This window comes from Homo sapiens, chromosome 6 (assembly GCF_000001405.40).
Source record: "Homo sapiens chromosome 6, GRCh38.p14 Primary Assembly".
NCBI classification, from domain to species: domain Eukaryota; kingdom Metazoa; phylum Chordata; class Mammalia; order Primates; family Hominidae; genus Homo; species Homo sapiens.
Window position 1 is genome coordinate 44813521 of NC_000006.12, and position 27183 is coordinate 44840703.

General features: G+C 37.2%; 1 protein-coding gene and 1 long non-coding RNA gene across 27 annotated transcripts in view; one reads left to right on the plus strand and one right to left on the minus strand.

Moving 5' to 3' along the window:
* LOC101929770 (uncharacterized) overlaps window positions 1–19590 on the plus strand; it is a 105175-nt gene extending 85585 nt beyond the window's left edge. For all 4 annotated transcript variants that reach the window (XR_926855.3, XR_007059598.1, XR_007059596.1 and 1 more), the window contains one exon: window positions 16068–19590. This is a non-coding gene — a long non-coding RNA (uncharacterized LOC101929770). The remainder of the gene's footprint in view (window positions 1–16067) is intronic.
* The window catches only part of SUPT3H (SPT3 homolog, SAGA and STAGA complex component), a 568878-nt gene that overhangs the window by 4464 nt on the left and 537231 nt on the right, over window positions 1–27183 (minus strand). For 17 of the 23 annotated variants that reach the window (NM_001350327.2, NM_001350325.2, NM_001261823.2 and 14 more), the window contains one exon: window positions 13206–16337. In NM_001350327.2, the coding sequence (NP_001337256.1) occupies window positions 16296–16337 (42 nt within the window). In that variant the 3' untranslated portion in view covers window positions 13206–16295. Of the gene's footprint in view, window positions 1–13205; window positions 16338–27183 lie in introns of those variants that run through there. The other 6 variants (NR_146632.2, NR_146634.2, NR_146633.1 and 3 more) reach the window with 1 other exon arrangement.

Here is a 27183-nt window from a genome sequence, read left to right on the forward strand (position 1 = left end):
TCTGGCATTCAGTAAAACACTCATAGGCAAAGCAGGAGGCACTGAAAACCAAGAGGAAAAAAAAAAAAACAGACAACAGAAACATTCCCAAGCAACCCAAATATTGAGGTAATAAAGAAGGGACTGGAACTGGAATTTTTTTTTTTTCAAAAAAGAATCAAATGGTGATGGTATAATTAAAAAAATAAAAAAAATTTAAGAATTCAGTAGATGAGCTTAATAGAATTTTAGAAGGAAAGTTCAATAAATACAAGATAGGTCAGTAGAAAATATTCATATTGAAGCAGAGAGAAAAGGAAATAAGAAATACAGAAAAGGGTACAGAAGACATATAATGTATGGTTAAAAAAATAAGTCTGACATACATCTAATTGAAATCCTAGAAGACATAAAGAAATATTTGAAGAAAAGTGGATAGGATCTAAAAAAATCGATGAAAAATATCCAGCCACAGATTCAAGTAGTTCTACAAATTCCAAGAAAGAAAAACAAAGAAAACTACATGTAGGCATGTCATACTACAACTGTTAAAGAATAAAAGGAAAAACACCTCAAAAGCATCCAGAGAAAAGCAGGCACATTACCTTCACAGGGGCAACAACAGGCTGACAACCAAAATGACAGAGGCCAAAAGAGAAGGAAATAAGTCTGATGTGTGAAAAATAATGCACATTTTATAATGCAAAACTTTAGGAAAAGAGAAATGTCCAAAAATAGGATACAATTGAAAACGAACCAGCCATCATAGTATGAAGAAATGTAGTGACAGGTCTCCCAACAGGTTATTTAAGGGTATATGTTCACTGCTTGAACCCTAAAGGCCAGGCAGTGATCCAAGTCCAGGGTGCCCAGCAGAGGAGCAGGTGTCCCTGAGAATCCAAACTTCCCAGAGAGTATCTGGGAACATACCAAGGAAAACAGTCCCATCACACACACGGTAGGCAAAGAGCCAGAAAATTAGCTTAAAAGCAGCCTTCGAGATGGGAGGCAGCGTGGATCTCTAGAGTTGTTCTGCTGCTGCCCAGGAGTTCCCTGTCTGTAAGTCTTAATAAACTCATCTACTCACCAAGCTGGACTTGTCCGAATCATTCTTTGGTTTCTTGGCATCTTCCCAGTTTGGGGGTGGGAGCAGTGTTATAGTCTCAAAATTTTATTTTTACTGTTATTTTTTTTTTAGACAGAGTCTCATTTTGTTGCCCAGGCTGGAGTGCAGTGGTGTGATCTCAGGTCACTGCAACCTCTGCCTTCCGGGTTCAAGCAATTCTCCTGCCTCAGCGTCCTGAATAGCTGGGATTACAAGTGTGCGTCACCACGCCTGGATAATTTTTGTATTTTTAGTAGAGATGGGGTTTAGCCATGTTGGCCAGGCTGGTTTCAAACTCTTGGCCTCAAGTGATACACCTGCCTTGGCCTCCCAAAGTGCTGGGATTATAGTTGTGAGCCACCACGCCCGGCCTCAAATTTTTTTCATAACAGAAATACTCTGCAGTCTTAAAAAAAAGTCATGAGAAAGTGTTACTATAGGTTACAAAGAAGTATGTACTTTATGAACATATTGTGTGTGTGTGTATGTGTGCATGTGTGTATTAAAATGTCAGTCACGTGTAGTCTCAACGTTAAAGGACTATAGCTAATTCTAATTGCATTCTTTGTGCTTTTCTGAGTCTTCTGAGTTTTTTGTTTGCAATGAATGAATATTTTAAAAATAATAAAAAGGGTGGTAAAGAACAAGTTAAAGAGTTAAAATGACAAAAATAAGTTAAAACCAAGAAATACAAGTTAGCATGTTAAGGAGTTATGATGAGGATAAGATTGTAGATTTAAATGTAACCATATCAATCATTACATTAGATATAGTCTAAAGAGTGGGATTAAAAGGCAGAGATTGTAAAATGGGTTAAAAAGCAACACCTAACTATAGGCTATCAGTGAAAAAGATACTTTAAATAAAAGTAAAGGATGAAAAAATATGTATAATATAAGTACTGAAGAAAGATGAAGTAGATTTATTAATATCAGACCAAGTACACTTCAGAACATGACATACTGTCAGGGGTAAAAAGGAAAATTAAGAATGCTAAAGGGGACAATTAATCAAGAAGACATGCCATTCCTAAATGTGTGTATGTAACTGAGAACAGAACTTCAAAATATACTAAGCAAAACCTAATAAAACTCAAAGGAGAAACAGATAAGTCTACAATATTAATTGAAGACATTAACCCTCCTTTCTCAGTAATTGATTGTAAAAAGTAGAAAATCAGTAAGTATACAGAAGAACTGAATAACACTGTTAGGTTGATGCAAAAGTAATCATGGTTTTTCCCATTACTATTTCAAAGGCAAAAACCGTGATTACTTTTGCACCAACATATCAACCAACTTGACCTAATATTTATAGAATACTACATCAAAGAGCACAATACACAAGTTTTCAAGTGCATATGCACATGTTCTGGGCCATAAGCAAACCTTAGAAAACCTAAAGGAACTGAAATCATACAAAGTATGTATTATAAAATTAAACTAAAATTTAGTAACAGGAAGATATCTAGGACATTCTCAAACATTTGGAAACGAATCAACACATTTCTAAATAAGCCATGAGTCAAAGAGAAAATCAGAAAGGAAATTAGAAAATGTTCTGAATTGGATGAAAATGAAAACAAAACACATTAAAGGTTGTGGGATATAGCTAAAGTAGTGTTTAGAGGGAAACTGAAAAGGAAGAATAAACAAATTGCCAATCTTAGGAATTAAAAAGAGGAGTGTCACTACAGATCCTACAGACATTTAAAGGATTATAAGATAATTTAATGAACAACTTTATGCCAAAACTTTTGTTAACTTAGATAAGGGACAAATAAGAGACAAACTATCAAAACTCTCTCAAGAAGAAATAGATAACCTTATATCTAATAGATAACCTTATATCTATCTAAGAAATAGCCTTATATCTAATATTATTCATAGCTAAAAGCTTTCCCACAAAAAAACACTTCAGACCCTGATAGCCTCCCTGGTGAATTCTACGGAATTTTAACAACAACAACAAAAAACACTAATTCTACAGAAACTCTTCCAGAACATAGAAAAGGAAGCAGCAGGCCCAAACTCATTTTATGAGCCTAGCATTAGCTGATATAAAAACCAGAAATGAGACATTACAAAAACTCCAGATCAATACTTTTCATGAGTACAGATACAAAAATACCTAGCAAAATGTTAGCAAATCAGATCCATCAAAATGTCGCCAGGCACAGTAGCTCAGGCCTATAATCCCAGTACTTTGGGAGGCCAAGGTGGGAAGATCACTTGAGGCCAGGAGATCGAGACCAGCCTAGGCAACAAGCAAGACCCTGTCACTACAAAATAAAACAACAACAAAAAAAATGCCAGGCATGGTGATGTGTGCTTATACTTCTAGCTGTTTGGGAGGCTGAGGCGAGAAGATGGCTTGAGCCCAGGAGTTCCAGGTTGCAGTGAGCTATGATCATGCCACTGCACTCCAGCTTGGACTACAGAGTGAGACCCTGTCTCTTTAAAAATACAAACACACAAATATATATAAATATACACATACATATTCACACACACACACACACATGCCCACACACACGGAGGTTAATACATCATGACCGAATTGCATTTATCCCAGTAATGAAAGATTAGTTCAACAAGTAAAAATCAATCAACGTAATCTATCACTGGGAAAAAAAAAAAAAACTCATTGTCTTCAAGGATGAAGAAATCCATTTGATAAAATTCAACATCCATAAAAACACTCGGCAAAAAAGGAATAAAAGGAAACTTCCTTAATGTGATAAAAAGCATCTAAGAAAATCTTAGCTAATTTAATGGGGTAAAGGCTGAATGCTTTCCCCATAAAATAGGGAAAAGGACAGGATGTCCATTTTTACCACTCCTATTCAATAGTGTACTGGAGATCCTAGTCACTGCAATAAGACATGAAGAAGAAATAAAAACCATACAGATTAGAAAGAAAAAAAATTGTATTTGCAAACAAAATGATCATCTATGTAGAAAATCCCGAAGAAACTATAACTGCCCCCACCACCTCAGCAATCTATTAGAGCTAGTAAGTTCAGCAAGGTTTTAGCATAAAAAGTTAATATACAAAAATCAATTTTATTTCTCTGTGAAATAAAATGAATAATGAATAATTGGAAAATGAAAAAAATTTAAATATTTCTTATAACATCAGCCATGAAATATCCATGCACGAACCTAATAAAATATGTACTAGGTTTATATTCTGAAAGCTATAAAACATTGATGAGAAAAATTTAAAAAGACCTTTATAAATGGAGAGCTATATCATGTTCATTAATTAGAAGGCTTAATGTTGCTAAGGTGTCAGTTCTTTCCAAATTAAGCTATACATTGTAAGCAATCCCAGTGAAAATTTCAGAAAGTGTTTTGTAGAAATATGAAAAAGCAAAGAATCTAAAATATGCAAAGCAATTTTGAAAAAGAAGAGCTGAGAAACTCTTAAGACCTGATTTCATGACTTAGTATAGAAGTCATAGTAATCAAGACAACCAGCATTAGTATCAGGATAAACAAATAGACTAATGGAACAAAACAGGATGCAAAGCAGAGCAATATTTATATGGTCAATTAATTTTAGACAAGGGTGTCAAGGTAATTCAACACAGAAAGGATAGTTTTCTCAACGAGTGGTATTGAAACTATCTGACATCCACATCCATATGCAAAAAAAACAAAAAAATAGAACCTCAACTCTTATCTTGTATTAATACCATATACAAAGTCAAAATAAATAGAAAACCTAAAAGTAAAAATTCAAAACTTAAATATCTAAAAGAAAACATAGGAGAAAGAAAGCCTTTGTGAGCTTGGGTTAGATGAAGGTTTCTTACATAAGACATACAGTATAAGCCATAAAAGAATAAAAATTGATAACTTTGACTTATTCAAAATTAAAAATATCAGCTTTTCCAAGGGCACTTTAGGAAAGAACAAGCTCCAGACTTGAAAGTTTTGAAAAGCACATTTCTGATAATAGATCTGTATCTAAAAGACATAACACTTATATTGTAAAGAGACAAACAACCATGTTTTTAAGGGGCAAAAGATGTGAATAAACACTTCAACAAAGAAAAAATACAGATGGCAAATGAACACATGGAAAATGCTTAATATCATTGGTCATCAGGGAAATGCAGGTAAAGCCACAATGAGATATCACTATGCACCTACTGGAATGGCTAAAATTAAAGCAAAATAAATAAGCAATACACCAAATGCTGGATCATACCAAAAGCTAGTGAAGATATGGAGAAACTAGAAATCTCATATTTCTGGTGGGAGTGCCATATGGTACATCTACATTGGAAAACATTTTGGTAGTTTTTTATAAAAATAAATATTCACTTACCATGAGTCAGTAATCCCACTTCTAGGTATTTACCCAATACAAATGAACACGTGAGTCCACACAAAGATCTGTCCATTTGTGTTCAGAGCAATTTTATTTTTAATAGCAACGAAATGGAAACAATGCAAATGTCCACTCAATAGCGAATGGATGAACAAATTGTAGTGCATCCATATGATGGAATATTACTCAGCAATAACATATAATGAACTAACACACGAAACAAGATGGATAAATCTCAAAAGCATAATGCTAAGTAAAAAAGACACACAAAAATCTTGAAATTCAACTTGATATGGAATTATTGCATTTAATATGCCATTCTGGAAAATATAAAAAATGATAGGGACAGAATGAGTGTTGCCAGGGGTTAGTGATGAGGCGGGGGAATCATGTTACAAAGGAACATGAAAAAACTGTTTTGGGTTCTTTTATTTTTATTGTGATGGTGATTACACAACTGTTCATTTGTCAGAAGTCACTAAATTGTGCTGTACATATAAAAAGGGTTTATACCTATATGCAAACTAGATCAGACTAAGCATTTTTTTTTTTTTAAAGAAACATAGATAAGAGTGGTGATTCATGCCTATAATCGCAGTACTTTGGGAGGCTGAGGCAGGAGGACAGTTTGAATCCAGGAGTTTGAGATAAGCCTGAGCAACATAGTGAGACCCTGTCTCTATAAAAAGAAAAAAAAAATGCTGGGCATGGTGGCATGTGCTTTGTAGTCCCAACTACTCAGGAGGCTGAGGTGGGAGGATTGCTTGAGCCCAGGAGCTGTGATCATGCCAGTGTACTTCAGCCTGGGTGACAGAGTAAGACCCTGTATCAAAAAAAAGAAAAAAGGAAATATATTGTTTCTATGTGCCATATCTAAAGAACTTCTGCAACATATGAAGTGATAAATAATACATGATTTTTTAAATAAAAATGCTAACCTGGAGCTGTGGTAAAAAGAAAATTTGAGCAAGTGGTGAAACAGATATATCAAAATAGGCCAGGTGCAGTGGCTCATGCCTGTAATCCCAACACTTTGGGAAGACAAGGTGGGCGGATCACTTGAGCTCAGGAATTCAAGACCAGCCTGGGCAACGTGGTGAAACCCTGTCTCTACCAAAAAAATATTAGCCGGGCATGGTGGCATGCGCCTGTGGTCCCAGCTACTCAGGAGGCTGAGGTGGGAGGATCATTTGAGCCCAGGAGGCAGGGGTTGCGGTGAGCCAGGATCACGCCACTGTACTCCAGCCTAGGTAACAGAGTGAGACCCCATCTCAAAAAGAAAAAAAGATACATCAAATAAAATTTGACATAATATTACTGAAACCTAATGACATCACAACTAATTTCTGCTTGTAGTGGTCAAATTTCTTATTTTGTTGGAGATGCACTGTGATTTAGGAAGTACCAAAATGCAAAAATGTTTTTTAAAAGAGTTATGTTGAAAAACACAGTTGAAGAAGTTCAGAAGTCTTGGGAAAGTCAAGGGGAAGCTGAATGTTGAGATATGAAGATGACGAGCCAGGACAGAAGTGAAAAGGAAAAGCTAAAGGCTGGAGAAGAACCAGAGAAGTATAATAACATGGGTATAGTGTTGCAAGAATTTGCAGAATTAAGTACTGATCAGTCATTCATTCATATAATACTGACTCAACACGTATTATGTGTCATGCACTGTTCTAAGTGCTGGGATATAGCAGTAGGCAAAATAGACCATGATCCTTAATTGCAGAGTCTACATTCTAGAGGGAGAACACAGTAACAAAATAAACAGATCTATGAAATGGTATTTTAGAAGACAGTAAGTGTTAGAGTGAAAAAGAAAGCAAGGAAAGGGATATGATGTGCTAGAGCAGGGGTTGGGGTCTCAATATTTAAAAGGGTGGTCAGAGAAGGTCTTATAGAGAAAGTGATTTATGTTTTTTTGAGACAGGGTCTGGCTGTGTTGCCCAGGTTGGAGTGCAATGGCACTATCCTAGCTCAGTGCTGCCTTGAACTCCTGGGCTCAAGCGATTCTCCTGCCTCAGCCTTCCCATTAGCTGGGACTACAGGAATGTGCCACTGTGCCTGGCTACTTTTTTAATTTTTTGTAGAGGCAGGGTCTTGCTCTGTTGCCCAGGCTGGTCTCCAATTCTTCGCCTCAAGCAATCCTCCCACTTTGGCCTTCTAAAGTTCTGGGATTACAGGTGTGAGCCACTGTGGCCCGGTCTGAGAAAGTAACATGATATTTCATGTATGGCTTGAAGAAGGTAAGGTAGCCATGAGGACAGCTTTTTACGGTGGATGCTTCTAAACACCGAGTACTCATGGTATGCACAGCTAACATCCATCTACTTCGTTGAGACCCATTTAGCTTCCATTGAAATGATATTCAAATATACCATTAATGTGATAATTGGTTATGACTGCTGATAAAAATGATTTACAAAATAATCTTCATTTCAACTGAGCAAGAAAAATTTGAGATCCAACTGAAAGAAAACCACATACCTCACTTTATTTTTAACTACTACTACCCCCCTCTCTGAAACCTGCCCCTCTTTCAATTTTCATTATATGTGACTTTGGGAATGCTGAATTTACTTTTTTAGTATCATTAGCTGGGAAAGGGGGTTAGAAAGAGTGGGAGGAAATAGCCTATCCATATGAAAACAATAATCACATAATATTTATTGTCTGGGATTGAAATGTTTCAAATAGGCAAAGCAATAAAATGTCAGGAAAAGCAAAACTTCCTAATGTTAAAAATATCATAAATTTTTCCCAAAATAAGACATATGAAAAAAGTTCCAGTGATAGTTTATGTCAAAGGAAGAAAAAAGCCCTCAAATCCACGTTAAAGCTGCCTGAAATCTTCAGAAGGCACAATCTACTCACCATTGGAGAACGAGGAGACAATGGCAATTATGATAAAGTACAGAAAGCAACGATTACCTTTTATTGAGCTTGAGAATCACTTTTTAACATAAACTCACTGATCCCTGCATTCTATAACTTGGCTTTTGCTATCTATTGTTTTTTAAAAAAAGGTAGTGTCAAAAAACTAGCAGGATTTCAGTATCACGTTAAAGTGATTTTACATTTTATAATTACAATGGGACTTATGTGTATATTTATTAATAAAATAGAGTAGCACCTACATGGGCAAAATATACTTTATTGAATCTACAGATAATTTAATCTAGGTGGGTTCATGAACCCCTTTCTGTAATTTCACGGTTCCCCTCAGGCTCACTGTTTGGGGCCTGCAGACTACATGTTGATTGCTTGATTTTCATAGGTGCCAAATAAGATTTCTGAAGGAATGGCTATAAAGAAAACAGACATTTTAATTTCAAGCTACTCTTTGGAGTAGCTTCCGGTTCACAAAATGTTATTTTTAGTCTAAATAGATCTTTATATTTGCTTTAAGTTCAGTGGACATGTTATTCCATTACCTTTAGGGAAATTTGATCCTAAAAGGCTCATTGTCTTTACAGTGAACCAGTGGGAGAACTGGTAGGTTTTCAAAGATGGACTATATACAAAAATAGTCCTACTAGTTTGTAATTCTTTTTCAAGATTGTATAGATTCAGATGGAACTCAAAGGTTCTTAGGTCTTAGTAGTGCAAAGTAATGCAAATATGATTAAGGTCATCTGTTTATGAGGTCCTTAACCCCTTCACACAAGACTGATGGCACAGTGACCTACTCACAAAGGCCACAAGAAACCTGATGCATGCGGTGCTTTAAATTGGTTTTTCTGAGACATTGTATTTGTCTTTAAGAGAAAAGCTGTGATCATCTAAAGTTCATAAGCTGTATAGCCAAATAAGTGAAATAAGAATTGATGAGATTAAACAAAGATTTTTAAAAAAGGATTCTGAGCTTATGTTTAAATGCATTTTTTTTTGGCTGGGCACGGTGGCTCACACCTGTAATTCCAGCACTTTGGGAAGCTGAGGCAGGTGGACTACTAGAGGTGAGGAGTTCAAGACCAGCCTTTCCAACATGGTGAAACCCTGTCTCTACTAAAAATACAAAAATCAGCTGGATGTGGTGGCGCATGCCTGTAATCCCAGCTACTCTGGAGGCTGAGGCAGGAGAATTGCTTGAACCCGGGAGGCGGAGGTTCCTGTGAGCCACTTCAGCCTGGGCAATAGAATGAGACTCCGTTTCAAAAAAAAAAAAAAAAAAAAATTTTTTTCTACCAACCAAACCACAAATGTTTATGAGTATCTGTGTATATGAGAATGACAAAGAGGTGTTAATTCAAGACTTGCCCTCAAGAAATTCTTAATCTGGTGCAGTCTAAAGGCACATGGACAGATGATCAGGGATACTAAATAGGAAGCAGAGAGAACAACAAGGGCTTAGAGTTCAGAGGAAGCAAAGGGTGCTATGTGCTGAGACAGGCAGGAAACTTTATGGGAAAGAGCTAGGGAAGGAGACCACCATGAAAACCTAGGAAAGAAGAGGCAGATTGATTTTGCATACTGCTAACAGAAACACCTGACCTTCTACACATTGCCATGGAAGGGCTCCCAGGAGACCTCATCTCCACATAGGCCACGCAGCCCTACCTAGGCCATAGGGACCTTCCTCTGTGATTGTCACAGGAACACAGCAAGACAGCCACTCTTGAGAGGAGCTGCCACAGGTAGTTTTGCATCTGACTCCCTAGTTCTGGTAAGGCAAAGGTCTTTCCACCTCAGCCCCCTTTGGGATGTGAATGCAAGCTATAAAACTGCTTGGCTGGCCAGGCACGGTGGCTCACGCCTGTAATCCCAGCACTTTGGGAGGCTGAGGCGGGTGGATCGCCCGAGGTCAGGAGTTCGAGACCAACCTGGCCAACATAGTGAAACCCCGTCTCTACTAAAAATACAAAAAATTAGCTGGGCGTGGTGGCAGGCGCCTGTAATCCCAGCTACTCGGGAGGCTGAGGCAGGAGAATCGCTTGAACCTGGGAGGTGGAGGTTGCAGTGAGCTGAGATCGAGCCATTGCACTCCAGCCTGGGCAACAAGAGTGAAACTCTGTCTCAAAAACACAAAAAACAAAACCAAAAAACTGCTTGGCTGTGGTTTAGAGTTGGCTCCTCCATGACATGGTAACCCCCCAGTCACTCATGTCTTCTGTCAATTGGCCCCTCTGGCTTGGTATCTTCCTGTGGGATTAGGAACGTGGGAAGTTGACACTGTGCCGATCTTGCTTATGTAGCTGTGTAACAGACTGTCTAAAGCCATTTGGGCTCACCGTTTCCTTACAGGCCAAACCTATGGAAGTGTGGCAAGCCAACTCATGAGCTGCAGTAGTTGGTGCTGCTTAGTGTCTGCTTGCTTGACTGACTGGTATGTTTAGGTCAGGGAGGGGTGACAAGTGGCCAATGCATTGGCAGGTGAACTAACTCTTCCCAAGTGAAGTAGCTGGAAGACACACTTAAAACCATTCAGAAATAGCTGGGTGAGGTGGCTTGTGCCTGTAGTCCCAGCTAATCAGGAGGCTGAGGTGGGAGGACTGCTTGCACCTAGGAGTTGGAGACCAGCCTCAGTGATATAGGGAGACCCCATCTTAAAAAAAAAATTCAGAAAAGAAAGTTGTACCACAGGCTGGTGCAGTTATTTGGAATCTTAAAGGACATAAATCAGAAGGTGGCTTGTCCTGAGGCAGAACAAACTTAGGGTTGAATTAAAGAAGCTGCTGACTGGGTGTGGTGGCTCATGCCTATAATCCCAGCATTTTGGGAGGCCAAGGTGGGAGGATCACTTGAGTCCAAGAGTTTGAGATCAGCCTGGGCAACAAAGAGAGACCTGACTCTCTCTCTCTGTAAAACAAAGCTGCTGCTAACTACTGAGTGGAATGGAAAACTATCCTTTGTAATTCAAATTGTGCATGGTAGCTTTTTTTCCACTTTCCTATTTATTTCCATACACCACTTCCCCCAGACCTGCCTCACACACAAACATGTCAGGCTGGGAAAAACTATGACTACTATATAATTAATGAATTAATGAGCAAGCCTTTAAAAGGGTCATTTATTTAAAGTTTCAGGGCATTGCCATATGTACTTTTGTATCTGCTGCTGCAAACACGTAAACAAGATGGGAATTATTTTATAACATGGATACATACCTTGTATGAAAGCGTGAAACGGTAGCCTGTAAACAGAGCCTTCTGGGGAAATCTGGTCTTCAGAAAGGAGAGAAGCTTTGTATACATGGATCTTTGAGGAATTTTTTCCCATAATTTGTATAGGGACTTTTTAGTATATTCATTGATTATATACATTTATCTTGAGGCTTAAGACATTATTAAAAACTTGGCATGAGCCTATATAATTATATTCTATTGTACATGATATAATATTCTATTATATACATAATACTTGGCATTAGAGGAGGAATGTTAAGTTAAAATTTTCTTGCAATCAAATTTTCTGGTTCTGAGAAGTGCTTCTAGGTTCAAGGTCAGGCAGCAATTCTCTTTAATATGGTCTCAGAAATCTCTACTCCAGTACAGTCCACGTTGTGTAACAGTGGTTAACAGCATGAGCTTTGGGATCAAAGTGCTGGGTACAAAAGCCAGCTCTACCTTGGGTAATTCTGCATAAGACATTTAATCTGCTGTTCCTCAGTTTCCTCTCTCCTGCCTGTGGGCAACAGGGCATATCTGGTAGTGGGGCTGTGAGTATTAAATGAGATAAATCGCACAAACTGCTTAGTACACAGGGTAGCACATGGTGTGCTGTAATTATTATGTCATAGCTTATTAAAATGCTGACACAATACATCATCATTTTTGATAGCAAGTAGAGTGTTACCTGGTATAAGTAAAACTATATTTTGATCATCTTGAGCCTTGCCTCCTTCTTTTTTTCCTATCTATCTATCTTTACCCTCCTTTGAAAAAAATGAGAATAGTGAATATTCAGTAGTGATGAGCAGAAAAGGGATCATGAACACAATGCTGTACAGATAATTACAGTGGCTCCCAACAATGAAATATGTATGCGGCGTTCTTGTGACTGCAGGAATTGATTGCTTTAAAATATGCTTCAATTGCCAAAACTTCCATGACTTATGACAGCTTGACTATTTACTATCTATCTTGCTCTGGAAAACAAATGCAAGTCTCGTCTCTTTCTTTAGGTATCATGGTATCAGTATCCGACTTACAACATTTGAGACTTTCTTTAAGAGATACGACTTTCTAATATTTGAGTTTTTAACGACATCTGGCCCTTATTTAACCATCACATTTACATCCAATTCCTGCAGGCAAAGTTTTGTTGTTTAAGCTTGGCTAGATGCCCTCTGCAGAAAGCCTTTGCTTTAATGAACACAATTCCACAAAAACTGCTAGAGTTCCCTGCTCTCTTCTCACCCCTGCCACTGTACAACAATAGCATGTAAAGTTTCATCTTGAGTTTCAAATAAGAAGGTAAAAATAAGAAACTGTGTTGCTGGAGAATTAGCTCTTTGTAGTGGCCACTGCTATGACATATTCAACTTGATGCCCTTAGATTATTTGCAGAGTGTTTATGTACTATGAAATGTTCGGCCAGAGCATACAGGAAACTGTAAAATATTTTATGAGATGTATACATGGTTGATGGTAGAATTTTAAATGTAGCCTGGAAAGGTTCTATCCAAATTCCAGGGGGGCAGATGAGAGAATATGTTCTCTTTAGTGATTCAGTTTTACACAAGAGGTTATATGAACTGGAAAGCATTGCCTGATTTGAGAACTACGTAAAAAAATTCATAAAATTAAACTTTATAATTAATTCTAAACAAGTAAACATGTTTTCTTTCAGACCAAGAATCACCAGTTATGTTTATTTGTCTTCTACATGGTAAAAGCATCAGACATGGCTTGTTTATTATTTTATAAAAACAAAGAACAGCAATAAATGAAGGGTTCTCCCCAGATACAGGAATTATATACACCATTTAAAAAATATTTGTGCTTCTGATGGTTTTCAAATAAAAAGTCTTGGTTTTAAAATTGAAACAGTATTTTTGAATCACAACGATTACAATCTAAGAAGGCAGGAAAGCTAATGGCATAACCCTCTAAATGGCACGTTCAGAAAGTTATACTTCCAAATTTAGGTGAAGGGAGAAATATTTCTACTTTCTTTACCCTTAAATCTAGGAAGCAGTATCAAGAGACGCTATTTATTTATTGGCTTATTTATTTTCAAATTCAGTCTCTAAAATACAAGGGACAAAAAATAGAAACTAGCTTTGTATATTTCCATTTGACTTAGAGTTAAGCCTGATGTGTAAGATAACAGACTGTTTACTTAATACCACAGTCACACTGAAGATTTTACTATATAACACGTATGCTTTAGGATGTATCCATAATTAGTACAGTTTTTAAATAAATTTACATCGTTGTCTAGGATAAATATGCCATAAAACCCCAACATGTCTTAGTAATATTCTTATGCTAACCCAGTATGGTAGAAAATACTGTATAATACCGACTGAAAATTAGGGACCATCGATTCTCATCTCTGGTCTGTCACTACATTATTGAGTGATCTTAGGAAACTCACTTTCCCTCTCTAGGCCATGGTTTTTTCATTTGCAAGATGAGCAGCTGTTCTTAATGATCTCTAAGACTATCTTCTGCTCTAACATTATGATTATTGAGAAAATAATTTACTGAAGTTTTCTTAAACATTCCTTCTGTAAATTTTCTTTTGTTTCTATAGTCACTGCTGAAGGAAGTTTTATTTCACTTCAAATTTAGTATTGTGCAAAGAGTCAGAGAAAGAACCTAAGTATAAAAAATAGAAAAGGGAATTAAAAATATTGAGCAATTATGGGGACATGTAGGCTGGTTCAGGACAGACATAAATGACCTTGCTTTATTCTAAATTCAGCTTACTGGCTTATGATGAAAAATGAAAGGTTTTATATGAACTTACTGGGCAAAACCAGATTTTATAAATAATTACCTGTCAGACTGTTCAAGATAGACAAACATATGCCAGACCAACAAAAACACAGACCTGTCATATTTCTGAGAGAAATGTACATTGAGTCTTCCTTCTCTGGGACTATAAGGAGATCAGGTGGAATAAAACGAAGGAAAAAAACCCAAACCCTATATTTTCTGCCTTGTGCATACTTTAAAATGTATAATGTGGGAGAGAAGGAATTTTGATGTGAAAAATTATCCCCTGAAAATTTTATACCATCTATAAGCCTGGCAGATCAAAACCAAATACAATAAATGCTATCGTTTAAAAGTTAAGTTAAGTTAGGATGTTTACTGCAAGCTTGTAATTTTCCATGATTATGGATGCCAAGGAAAATAAGAATGATAAAAAGTTTAATCATAATCATACATTTTAACAAGCATAGATGGAACATCAAAATCCTTTGGGAATATTTTGATATTATATATCTATCCGTGCTTTTTGTTTCTGAAATGCAAATTTTTTCTAAAAAGATTAACATAGAGCAGGTAAATGACAGTTAACAAATGTAAATAATGTGGCATAATAATATTAACTGAGCCTCATAATTCTTTGAGTCTGATGGTTTTCAAATAAAAAGTCTTGAATTTAAAATTGAAACAGTGTTTTTGAATCGCAACTATTACAATATAAGAAGGCAGGAAAGCTAATGACATAACCTCTAAATGGCATGTTCAGAAAGTTTTATACTTCCAAATTTGGGTGAAGGGAGAACTATTTCTACTTTCTTTACCCTTAAATCTAGGAAGCAGTATCAAGAGAGGCTTGCTCTCTTGAGCAGTATCAAGAAAAAGGAGCAGTATCAAGAAAAAGATCTTTCATGTTTCTCATTTCTGTTTTTATTAATTCTTTAGAAAGAGTGTTTCAAGTATGTGTAAAAACCATAAAAGTAAAATTATACAAAACTCCCACAGAATTAAAGAAATAACTTTCTTTTTTGCAACTGAAGTTTAATCAGGAACTGTACAATTACATCTGCTATATTTTGGTTTGTTCCAAAGAGTTACGGTTCCTCATTTACTGGAGAAAGTATAGATGCCAGAAGGGTAGCTCGGCTGCTAACAGCAAGAAATTACCCAGCCCACATTTCCAGTCTAGGTGTGGTAGTGCTTTGAAGGGAGGAAGCAAGAAATCACTCTGCTCCCCTTCTACTGATTCTGAATACTTGGCTTCTAAATGTGTATGGCATGTGCAGGAGTGGTGGATCTGGGGATTGGAGGAACAGGAAAAGGAGGGAAATGAAGATGGAGGAAGAGGTTCTGTGTGAGGAAAAACACACATGAAAGGCAGATGGCAGGAAGTTGGGAAGCAGGCATTGAAAATGACACATACTATAAGTGGAGTGAAGGGGAAAGGAGGTGGGAACAGGTGATTTATCAGGTCTGTTAGATCTTTGATTACTGTAAGTTTATAAAATGGATAGCTGTCACTAAAACACATGTCAACAAATGTTGGAAAGTAAAGTTGGTGGTGTAAGGGAAGGCGAAAACTCACTGTCCTTTTAATTTTGTTTCCTTGTTCCAAACCTGGATTATAAAATATATCAAATAAAATGCAGACAAAACGCTGGACGGGGGCAACCACTGCTTTTAAGGTATGTGAGCTGAGGGCAGTAAATCTACTCAAATTAAAATTTCAAAACTGTGTGATCTGCATTCTTGTCCACCTACAGACTATCCTAAACATCCTGCCATTAATTAGCTGAACAGCCCATCTAGTAAACAAGACCGATGGTTGAGGGGCTGGAAAAGAGGAGGAGTCAGCAAGTTGAAAGTCACAACAGACCAGCCCACTCCCTCAGATAAAAGAAAGGTAAATTTGTATTTTATTTTGTTCACAAGAAATCACCTTAATATAACATTGCCTTTCCTGTTGTTGCAGGCACATCACAGTTGTCACATCAGCAGGCTAGAAAAGCCATCCCATTCCTGCGGTAGGCATTCTGTCAAAGAAAAAGAAATCTGCAATGAATTATCACATGAAGTCAAACAAGGAAAGGAGGCAAAAAGCAAGCAGAGCCCTCTTCCTGTTTTGTAGACTCTGCTGGCTACAATCTAATAGAATGCTTAATCTGAATATTTCTGGTGGCAAAACTATAGCAACCATTCTGTCTATTAAAAAGTCAGTGTGGTTAACAAGTGGTTAGTGATTCTATTTTTGGGAAGTAGCAGATACATAAAATAAGACATCCCATTTTGTTAACTGATTGGGCTTGGTTAGGCCAAAGAGATGTATTGAATCTGTTTGTCTTTTATAAACATGTGTTCTCTATTCGATATGCTCAGGAATCACTTCTAACTAACTAAGTATCTTAATAGTCTATAAATTACTGACTCATTACTGGCCCTTCCCGGGCCTAATTTATAGTCTGAGTGAAAAGCTGTCGGAACAGACACTAATAGAGGCCTCTCCTCCTCCCTAAAATATGATGATCTCAAAGGAGTTCTGTATAGTTCTGCATATTGTAGACAGTATCAAAAATGCAAATCTTATATAATTTTATATACATACCTGTACGTACAGATGTACACATGGATATGCATGGTGGGATAAAATACTCCCATAAAAGAAAATGGGAAAATGGATTCTAAGTGCAATAATTAATACGTTTCAGTAAAGAAAGAAAAGTTGCATGCTTTTCATTCCAAGAGACATATTTTGCATTTCAGTGTTGGGAGACCTGGATCACACAGGGTCTCTGTAACATCCTGAATTCCACCATAAGACCCAGAGGGGAGCAGAACTAAAATTCAGGACTTAGGAATAAAATTTCCCTTTCCCTGGCACATTTTTAATCATTTAAACTAGTAACAGTCACATCCAGAGAATTCATAACCGTCAATCTTTTCAGAAAAACAAAGAAAATCATAAAATTCAGGTTAGGGATTTTTCCCCCTTAGGCTAATAACTCTGAAGCAGTTCTGGAGTCTGTATACTTCCAGCCCAATGAATTAACCTTGAACAGCCACAGCCATATTTTAAGAAATACAGAATAACCTTTTACGATCAAGATAATGCTATGGAGGCAGTGAAATCTTCATCTTAAAAAATAATTAAACCACATTTATAATTAATTATACTAAAAATGGAAAGTAGACTTAACCCTTTTAGAAAGACTTCCATCAACATGAGGTGAAACAAATATAGTTTTCTAGATAACCTTCTCTTAATCATAAAATTCAATTAACTTGAAAACCTTCTCTCCAAATATCCTGCTTAAGAAGATTTACTGTGCTTGTCAGGCTTTGGCGCCCTGGCTGAAATTTCTTTGCTTAGTTATGCTGCTATGCAGTTCACTCCAGATCAGTGTATCAGGGATGACAAAACAGTGGCACATTCCAAGTGTCATTCCTCAGTGTTCTTTCTGTGAGCTTGTTCTTTACCATGGGGCTTTTTGTGTTGTAGAACACTTCTGGATTGAAGAAAACATTCTAACAAGGACTAGAAAATTCCAACTCTACTTCCTAAAATTGCGCTATAGAACAGTGTTAAGTGAATGCCTCAGAGAGCCACAAATAACTTGCAGGAATGCATAGGGTGTCTTCCCACAACCACAGGCAGTGGAGCCTCAGTCTGTGAAACAAACAGCTCCTACCACCACGGCTGCCTTACAGAGAGGCTTATGCCAAAGTAATACTCTTAGCTTCTTGACCTTGATATTTTAAATTTTATAACCACAGTGACAATCTTTAACATCATGTATTATTTAAAGCACAGGGATGGTTTTATATGGAGTTAAATGGACCTAGGAGTAAGGCTGCATTCCTTCTAAACATACAGTGTTGAAGTGAGCCTTGCTTGAGAAAGGAGGTTTTGGCTTAGAGGGAGACTGAGTCTTAGCTGAGTTCACCTGAGAAATAACCAGGTTTTAATCTTTTCAGACGGGGCAATATAAAATAGTTCTTATTAGCATGGAAAAGGTCACTTTTGAAAGATCGATTCACCTTCACAGATGATTTATCACTGCTTTGCAAACAAAAGATTTTTTTTTAATAACTTATTTAATAACACAGATCCTATGAGAAAACCAAAGTTTAGAGTTGACCCAGATTTCTGTGATGTTCTTCCCATTTGAATTCTGAAATAAATAAAGAAGGAACAAACAAGCATGTGTAATTAGTGAAGAGCAATTTCAGTAAACATATTCCCTAGGGTACTCTATTTTGAGTCACTGCTTTTTCCTTTTGATGTACAAAGGATGTACATTGTCTATGTAGGGCAATTATGGGAACGTCCCAACTTTGGCATGCTTTCCAGAATAAGCAACTTTACAGGAAGATGGATGAAGACAACAACTCATCTTCACGTCAACTGTAAATTTCTCTCTATTTGTGTTGCAAATGTTGAAACTAAATTTAAACATTGCTTGGTGTGAGGGCCTTCCAGAGGCCACATTCTCATGGAATACTTTGTATCCCACTTACTTTCTTCTGTCAGACCCTATGAATGATTCCCAGTTCTGTATCTATCTTTACAGACACTCCTAGTTAGTAAAATCCAGGCTTTGACCAGAAAGAGTCAGGACTTCCACCCACTACTGAAAATTATAGCTTAATCAATAACACAATTAGACCTCCCCAACAAACTGGATCCTACGTGCCTATATACTACTTAAGGTTCATTTCTGGTTTAATAAAGCTCTGTTCTCAACATCAGTTGCTCCTTTGTGAATTTGCTGAAAAGCTCAGACATTTTAGCATCTCTTAAAGTTCACAGCAAAGACAATACTTAATGTGTTTAAGGCCCAATTAGTTATAAAATTAGGAATTCATAGTTCCCATTTTTTTTAATTGAGGACCCAATTTTTGACATTCATTTATTCATACAGTGCCAAATTACGACCTGTGCCAGAATGTCAATCTACCTGGATAAGCAGATACAGATTTTACCTACTGCACTGGGCACTGTGGGGTAATTAATTTCTAAGTGTGTACTTTTTAAAGTGACTGTTTTTTACTTCATATGGACAAGGTAGAGAAAACATTTAAATCCCATAGTGGTTTACTTCTGTTTTTTATGGGTTATCATAAATTGATACATCTTAGGGGATACAAATGAATATTAAAAAGCAAAAGATTAATATTTTTCTTAAAAGGACACATGCTACAAAACTTACTTTGTAGTTCCGACTTAAATATTACTGCGTATTATGTTTGCCATTAGCCTACTTATTAAAACATTAACTATAAACACCAGTCTTTCTTCCAGTACAGACTTGTTTTATTCTATTACCTTTCCTGATTCTCTTCTGCTTTCTCAAATCTTAAATAAACTAGCATAAGAATCTCACTGTAGTAAGTAAGTCCCAAACTCTCCTACAAATACTTTATTTCTCAAAGGCATAAGAAAGAGGTTTTGGTTCTATTGTCTGAATTCCTATAAATTTGCTTAATATGATTTCAGCAAATTTTTACTGAGTTCTTATTCTGTAAATCACTGTGTGCTTGGTGGTACAACAGGACACTAAGATAAATAGACAGTCCCTGGCTTCACTAAACTTCCAGTTTCACATTCAAGTTTTAACCACCACAAGTAAAATGCACTGAGAGGTCATTCTCAAAGTGAGAAAGGAGGGAGAAAACAAAGCAGGCTTTTGTTTTTTTGCTTCTAATCACAATATTTAATTTGAACTTACTTACACTTTCGAAAGGCATGAGATTTGTCTATTTCTCAAAGTAGGGAGGGGCAAAGATTAAAAAATGCTGAGATACATGGTTTTATGGTTTATGAAATATTTTCATGTCTGTATCTAATTTGAGCCTTACCACAATTAGTAAAAGAGTAGATTTTGGATTTAAAACCCAGGGCCTGTGTTCTTTTCATTATACTACATTGTCTTACAATAAACAAAACAAACCAGACAGTCCCCTGCCCCAATTCCACCCAGAGCACTGTAGATACACATATTCTCTTAGTCCTAACAAACTCAGTTCTTGCTAAACATCACTTAAAGGGTAAATTACAATTTTATTTCAAATTTAAGCTAAATCAGCCAGGTATAATACTTCCGAGTACAGACAATGGACCTTAAATCTAAATCATCTTCACTTTGGAGGCTTTCTCAACTACTGCTTATTTTCCAAACTAACTTTAAGAATAGTGTATAGTATAGAACATTGCACCCAAATCACTTGGGGAGCTTTAAAAGACACAGATGCTGTAGCTCCAGTTCTTCAAAGCCAATGGGTCTGAGTGGAGATTAGGCTTTGGAATGTCTTAGAAGTATCCCAGGTGCATAGTGAGAGCTGAGAACAGTGGTAAAATGGATGAGGAGATCATTAACAGGACCCAATAATGGTTTCGTCAATAAATGGAACATTTTCAGAATCTGTCATGATTATGGAGTAAATAAATATTTCCTAATGGAAATTCTAATTTTGGCATTTAGTAAATTTAACATGGAAGAGGCAGAAATTGAAGTTTTCAGATTGTGGCTTTTATCCACAGCAGATGGGTTACCTGTATCTCTCACTTTAGGTTATCTGTAGATTAGGCATTGCTTTCCGCCCCCAAGATGCTGAGATGCCACTGTTAGGAGCACAGTCTGTCTGACTGCCACAACATGTTTAATACTATAGTGAAAAAGGAATTTGGAAACTAAGCCTGCTAAACCAAGCTGAACAAACCCTTTACTAACATCTAGAATCAAGGAACAATAGAACTTTGGAATTGGAAAGTATCTTTGTGAATTCCTCTGGCCCCATTCTTAATTTAACAGATGAAAAAACTAATGCCCAGAGAGAGTGACCCATCCACAGTCACATGGTTTTCGCCTAGGATTCCTGACTCAGTTTAGGGCTTGTTGCAGATGGTTCTGATTCTGCCCAAAGCTATGTGTTTAGCTTCCCCGGCCTTAATGGGGAAAACAGATGCAGGGAAAGAAACAGTTTTTCTGGATAAAGAACAGCCCTTGGGAGCAGAACAAAAGTGAAGAAACTGGTGGAGTTGGCGGAGGGGCGGTTAGGGGAGGGGGAAGGAAGGAACACAACTTAATTATGTCCGAAACAATATAGCTGAGCAGGTAGAGGTCAAGCCATTATAAGCTTTGAGTTCTACCTTGGGCTTTTCTGCTTTATGATTAGCCCTCCCCTGGAGAATCACTTAATTTTCCTGAGTGCCCAAAATAATAATTCTGATAAATGGACAAAGCATCAAAATAAGATAGATATACATAGCTGAAAGGTTCTGTGGCAAATGTATGCATCTTTAGGACCTTCAGGGGGTTGATACACCATGTGTTTTCATGGAAGTCTTACTATGGCTATGCTCAGTATCTGATTTTGGGTTGAGCAAATAATATGGCCTGCGTGGAGCTGTTTGGAGTTGGCAAGTTTGGGTTAAATCAAGCAGTAAAAGGGACGATAAAAAAGATTTGGAGCATACATTCACCCTCTCCCAAACTACTGTTAACTCCTAATTAACTAAGTATAGAGTATACATGCTCTGTCTCTAGGATGATCTGTGGGCCACAGGAGCTGCCCTGTCACCAAGAGCCTGGGGTTTTCCAAATTCTTCACATCTTGGGATGTGAGGGCACAGAGGGTTGAGGTTGAAAGGGATGAAGATGGGCACAGAGGGTTGAGGTTGAAAGGGATGAAGATGGGCACAGAGGGTTGAGGTTCTATGCTGGCTTTGCTTTGCTGGGAGAAAAAGGTAGGGAGGTAGTAGAATAAACTAGAAGCAACAGGCTTTCACTAACTCTTACTTGTTAACCTAAATGTCTGGTTTATTGGAATACTCAGTTGAGCCACCGTTGGGATGGTAGGTACATTTCTGAATTTCATGTATAAATGCTGTTTAGGTCAACTAAATTAGTCCCCCTCTCTGTCCCACCCCACTCCCAAGCTTTATAGTAAAAATCAGTTGTGCTTCTAACAGGCCTTTTTCAATCTCTCTTCTGGTAGAAGAGAGACTATGCCAAGTTGTCTCAAACTTAGGTTGTTTCAAATTCAACTGCTCCCATATGTCCGAATTCAGCCCTGGTCTCTGTGAGGTCATTAGATTCTGAGTCTAAGCCCTCCATTTGCCTAAGAAGATGACCGTGCTCTGAAAGACATATTGTTTTGCTTTAATACTATAAATCCTGGAAGTTCAGGAGTTTCATATGAAAGCTATGCAATCGCTTTTTAAAAGATAAAATATGCCCCTTTCTTTGCTGCCCTTGTGTCTGCGTGTGGGCAAGATATTTAATTATAATGAATAAAGCCAAATGGTGGTCTAAGACTCTTAAAATCAAAGTGGGAATCATGGCTGAATTTCATTAGCAAACATAAATACAAATAGGCACATCTTGTTTGCACCATGCCATGTGACTTTTCTCCTTTTGATAATTTCATTCTAACTCTGATATTTCAGAGGACCTAAATTAAACCATATGATATATAGCACTGTATAACATGCAAAACTCATCATTAAACATTTTTCTTTTGTATACTTGCCCTATGTTATAAATATCCTGTCAGAAGCAGAGCCCTGATTTAACAACAGTGGAGGGAGCCCTGCCCTTTAAATAAGAGGTCTTCTCCGGCTGGCAGAATGGGAAAAAAACATAGTATTAACTCTCATTGTAGTCCATGTAACCCAGAGCCCATAAATCTTGAGGAACTTGTCATTTTATGCCCGATTTTCCCTAACTCTATGCCAGTCTCTTCTTATTTTATTGAAAATACTAACATTGGACTTTTATAAATTCTTGAGTTATTACCAAGTTGTTTTGGCAGTCTGAATACAAAAATCTCTAGATTAAATTTAGTTATTAAAAGTTACCATTCATAATTGCCCAAGTCATTTCAAATTATGAGATATATTAAGACTTTTTTGTTGTTGAGCAAAATAATTAAGTGGCTAATAAATACAACATTGTATTTTAGGAAAAAAAGGTTTTTTGTAAATATTATCTTCAGCAATTTTATGAGACTATGTATAAATTCTTTCCATGACACTACATGCACTTACATACATCTTTGTTTAATAGTAACTTAACACCAATAATATTAAACTTGTCTTCAGCTACTTTTATATTAAAGACAATCAAAACAAATGTCTCAAATTATTCCAAGCTGCAAACACATATAAGTAAACATTTTAGGTTCACATACTGTTACCAAAAATTAGAATCAATAGTAGGTTTGTAATAGATAACATCAAATACTCTTTTTTTTACAATCTTGGTTTTGTAGTCATGTTACTCAACTGCATTTTCAAGGTCTTAGACAATACTGATACAAGATAAAAACAAAAAGAACGGCCAAAAAGTGCCAAATTGGCAGGAGTTAGTAACCCAAATAACAATTGTTTGGGGGCTCAGCTCTAACAACAGTTAATTCTCATTTCGCTTGAGTAACCTATAACCTCCAGAAGGAAGGGAACTTACTGTTCTGTTTATTTCTGTATGTCTAAGGCATAACCCAATGCATGAAATAAATTAAATGCTTAATAAATAGTCATCTAATGAATGAATGAATTTGACTAGCAGGTAGCTTCTTTTCCTCTGGGCAATAATGGGAAATGCTGATGTGCTCATCATTAGAGCAGGGGCTGGATAGTCTCAGTTCCTAAAAAGTGGGCTTAGACCACACACTTACCATTTTGCAAGAGAACCATCAGCACCAGTTATTAAGAAAACTAAATTAGTGACCTTGATAGCCCAACCACTAGCAATGTTGCAAAGCAGTTATTCTGATATTAGGTCTCAGTTCCCACTGGGAGCATTTCTGGGCTTCTTCTTACTGATTATCAGTCAACAGTGAAAAGTTATGCATCAATCAAGCCAATTGCTTTGTTTGCCAGAAAAAGAATATTCAATTCATCTAAAACAACACTGTGAAATTATTTTGTTGAGTCTATAAACATTTTAGGTTCAAATACTCTGTTACCAAAAATTATAATCAACAGTAAGTTTGTAGTAGATAATATAATTTTTTTTACAATCTTGGTTTTGTAGTCATGTTACTCAATTGCATTTTCAAGGTCTTAGACAATACTGATGTAAGACAAAAACAAAAAGAAAATACTGTTGCTATGGCCTTCCCCCGCCTTCTCAATGGCCTTTGCCACATTAAAACACCATACAAGGAGTAAGAACACAGATAGCAATAGCTGTTTGCCAATGGTCAACACCAATTTGATTGGACAGTAAGTAAATTACAATTAAGGTCTTTAAGAATTCTTTAAAGACAATAAATAAAAAATTATGACAAAAATCAGGAGATGGTAGTTAATAATATCAATTACATTCGGTAGCCACCTGAGAAGATATATTTTTACACTTGATTTTAGCCAAAAGGCTGAGAAATGATAGAGAAGGTGTATGTCTGTATGAACCTACTGTCATTTTACTTATTCATTCAAAAAACACAGAGTACAAGGTACAGTGGGTACAGCAGGATCACAGATGTGGTTCCTGCCCTCTGTGGTGAACAGGCTGAGGGGGAAGACACATACTGAATGAGAAATGCCAAAAGTGATGGAAGTTACAAAATGAGAATAGAGTGTAATGGGCTGTGTAAGAGGGCAGTAGAGGGAGATGGTGGTCATCAAGGAGGTTTCTTGAAGAAGTCACACAGCTGAGATCTGAGTTGGGGACGGGAAGGGGATGGGTTCAGGGGACAAAAAAGTGTTTTAAGTAAGGCCAAGAGGAGAGAGATCTTGACTTATCTTGTTTCCAAATGCCAATCTATAGGCTAGTCAATAAATGCTAAGTCTGAGACACCAACCCAAACTACCTACCACTAAAGAGCTTATCCAAATTCAGGTCCGAGATACTCATAAGCATTCAACCAAGTGATTCTCTTGAATCACTGCTTTAGGGCCTGGCATAAACTCTTTATATTAAATTAGAGTACTCTCTGTTGGCATTTATTTCCAAGCTGAACTGCTGTGGACTGACAATAGGGGGGCATGCCTCTTCCATGCCTTTGTGTCTCTTTCCTTAAAGTTAGGTGTTCTTGAGACACTGTGAACATACTTTTACCTTGTACATATTACACATCTATATTTCTAAAACAGAGTTGTGTTAAATTTGCCATGGACATTTACAATAATATGCCTTAACCATTCTGAAAATTTATCTCCAACATATCATAAATAACAAAAGTGTCTCCTCTGATGTGAAAGATTAATTTGAACAGAGCTATCATATTAAATGACAAGATCCGAGTTGTGGAGCCATCCCAAGTCAGATATATTATTTATGTGGTAGTGACAGTACTCATTTTATTGGGTATTATTCTAATTAATTCTAAAAGGTGAGCTTTTGGGCTCATGGTAACTAGGATCCTGCACTGGCCCAGATCACCCTTATCACACTATTGTCCAAGTCAACTGCCTACTGGTTACATTGTCTCATAAACACAGTGAAAAGGCTTAAGCGCATCAAAAATAAATGTTTGTTTCACTATTATTATTATTTTTTTTTGAAACTGGGTCTCGCCCAGGCTAGAGTGATGTGGTGTGATCATGGCTCAATGAAGCCCCAATCTCCCACACTCAAGCAATTCTCCCACCTCAGCCTCCTGAGTAGCTGGGACTGCAGGTGTGCACCACCACGCTCAGCTAATTAAAAAAATTTTTTTTAGAGATGAGGGTCTCACTTTGTTGCCCAGGCTGGTCTTGAACTCCTGGGCTTGAATGATCTTCTTGCCTTAGCTACCCATCATGCCTGGCCCCTTGTTTCACTTTTAACATAAGTTATTATAATTAAAAATACTTATTAAAAATATTTTATTACTCAACAGCCAAATTAACAAAATGGATCCTCAAAAGGGCCTATGAAAAATTCAGCACCAGTTTTTTTTTTCTTTTTTGAGACGGAGTCTCTCTCTGTCGCCCAGGCTGGAGTGCAGTGGCGCCATCTCGGCTCACTGCAAGCTCCACCTCCCGGGTTCATGCCATTCTCCTGCCTCAGCCTCCCGAGTAGCTGGGACTACAGGTGCCCGCCACCACGCCCGGCTACTTTTTGTATTTTTAGTAGAGATGGGGTTTCACCGTGTTAGCCAGGATGGTCTCGATCTCCTGACCTCGTGATCCGCCCGCCTTGGCCTCCCAAAGTGCTGGGATTACAGGCGTGAGCCACCGCACCCAGCCCAGCACCAGTTTTTGACTACTGAATTAAGAAGTCAGTTGAAATTCTTGTCCAAACTGGTTGGCAAAAGTTGAGATCAGAGTCATCCTTACAAAAGAATGTGGCTGTTATATTTCAATAACTTTTACTGCGATTTCTTGAGGACCAGCTGCATAAATTCTACCTTTATGTATTCTATTCATGTAGCAGTCAAATGAAATGTAAACAGGCATTCTATAAAATATAGCCTCAATGTATAATCTCTATGCTTAATTCAAGGAATAATTTCAACTAGGTTTTAGGAGAAGGGCAAATGGACCTTCCTCTGTCTCTCCAGTCCAATTGGTGGTGGGAGTGACTGGGTAAGCTGGTCTCACCACTTTCGGGACTGCCTGGCCTCCTGTGCATGCAGCCAGTCTCTTGTTCAGCAGACCCGTGGGAGGTGAGAGGAGGTAAGCTAATGCACAAGTAGCTGCCAGAAGAAAAGATGGGAGAAAAAAGCAAAAGAAATATAGTATTTCAATCAAAGTCTAAAATTTGTAAAAGTGGTTTTGGTCTCCATATAGTAAAAATATTTATCCAAGAAACTCCTACTCGGGTGTGAACATCCTACTTCTAGTGGGATTTTGTTTGGCAAAGGTCTGTGAAAGAGTGGAAGCTAATACAGAACATGTCTATAAACAAATTTATTTAGTTAGTACAGATTGACACATTCACTATAGGATTT